Source organism: Homo sapiens, chromosome 3 (assembly GCF_000001405.40).
Source record: "Homo sapiens chromosome 3, GRCh38.p14 Primary Assembly".
Taxonomy (NCBI): Eukaryota; Metazoa; Chordata; class Mammalia; order Primates; family Hominidae; genus Homo; species Homo sapiens.
The window spans coordinates 96100730-96101793 of NC_000003.12; the positions used below are offsets into that span (position 1 = coordinate 96100730).

Sequence of the window (1064 nt, forward strand, 5' to 3'; positions counted from 1 at the left end):
GTTGGATAATATTCCATGGTGTGTGTGTGTGTGTGTGTGTGTTTATATACATATATATACACACATATACATAGATATATACACACATGTATACATATATACACATATATACATATATACACATATATATACTTATACACACACACACACACACACACACACATATATATATATGACATTTTCTTTACCTAGTCAACCATTGATGAACCAACACTGAGGTTGGTTCCATGACTTTTCTATTAAGAAGAGCACTGTGATGAACATAGAAGCCCAGGTGTCTTTTTTGTATAATAATTTATTTTCCTGTGGGTAGATACCCAGTGGTGGGATTGCTAGGTCAAATGGCAGTTCTATTTTTAGTTATTTGAGAAATTCCCATACTGTTTTCCTTAGTGATTGAACTAATTTACATTTCCACCAACAGTGTAGAAGTGTTCCCTTTTCTGCATATCAATGCTAACATCTGTTGTTTGTTGAATTCTTAATAATAGCCATTCTGACTGGTGTAAGATGATATCTCACTGTGGTTTGAATTTACATTTCTCTGATGATTAATGATGTTGAGTGTTTTTTCATGTATTTCTTGGCCACTTGTATCTCTTCTTTTAAGAACTGTTCGTTCATGTCCTTTGCCCAGTTTTTAATGAGGGTGTTTGTTCATTTCTTGTTAAGTTGTGTTCCATGTAGATTCTAGGTATTAGTTCTTTTTCAGAGCCATAATTTGCAAATATTTTCTCCCATTCCGTAGGTTGTCTGTTTAATCTGTTGATTATTTCTTTTGTATGCAGAAGCTTTTTAGTTTAATTAAGTCCCATTTGTCTTTTTTGTTTGCTTTTGGAATCTTCATCATAAATTCTTTGCCTAGGCCAATAACCAGAAGAGGTTTTCCTGGGATATCCTCCAGGATTTTTATAGTTTCAAGTGTTATATTTAAGTCCCAGTTCATCTTGAGTTCATTTTTGTATATGATGAGAGATAGAGGTCCAGTTTTTATTCTTCTGCACTTGGCTAGACAATTTTCCTAGCACTACTTACGCAATAGGATGTATTTTCTCCATTATTAA

The 1064-nt window shown here is 33.2% G+C and overlaps 1 annotated feature.

Moving 5' to 3' along the window:
- Positions 238-739: an enhancer, noted in NCBI's record as "NANOG hESC enhancer chr3:95819811-95820312 (GRCh37/hg19 assembly coordinates)". NCBI's record gives its function as "activates a minimal SCP1, AML or CMV promoter by ChIP-STARR-seq in primed H9 embryonic stem cells {active_cell/tissue: H9 hESC(primed)}" and the evidence as "EXISTENCE:reporter gene assay evidence [ECO:0000049][PMID:30033119]".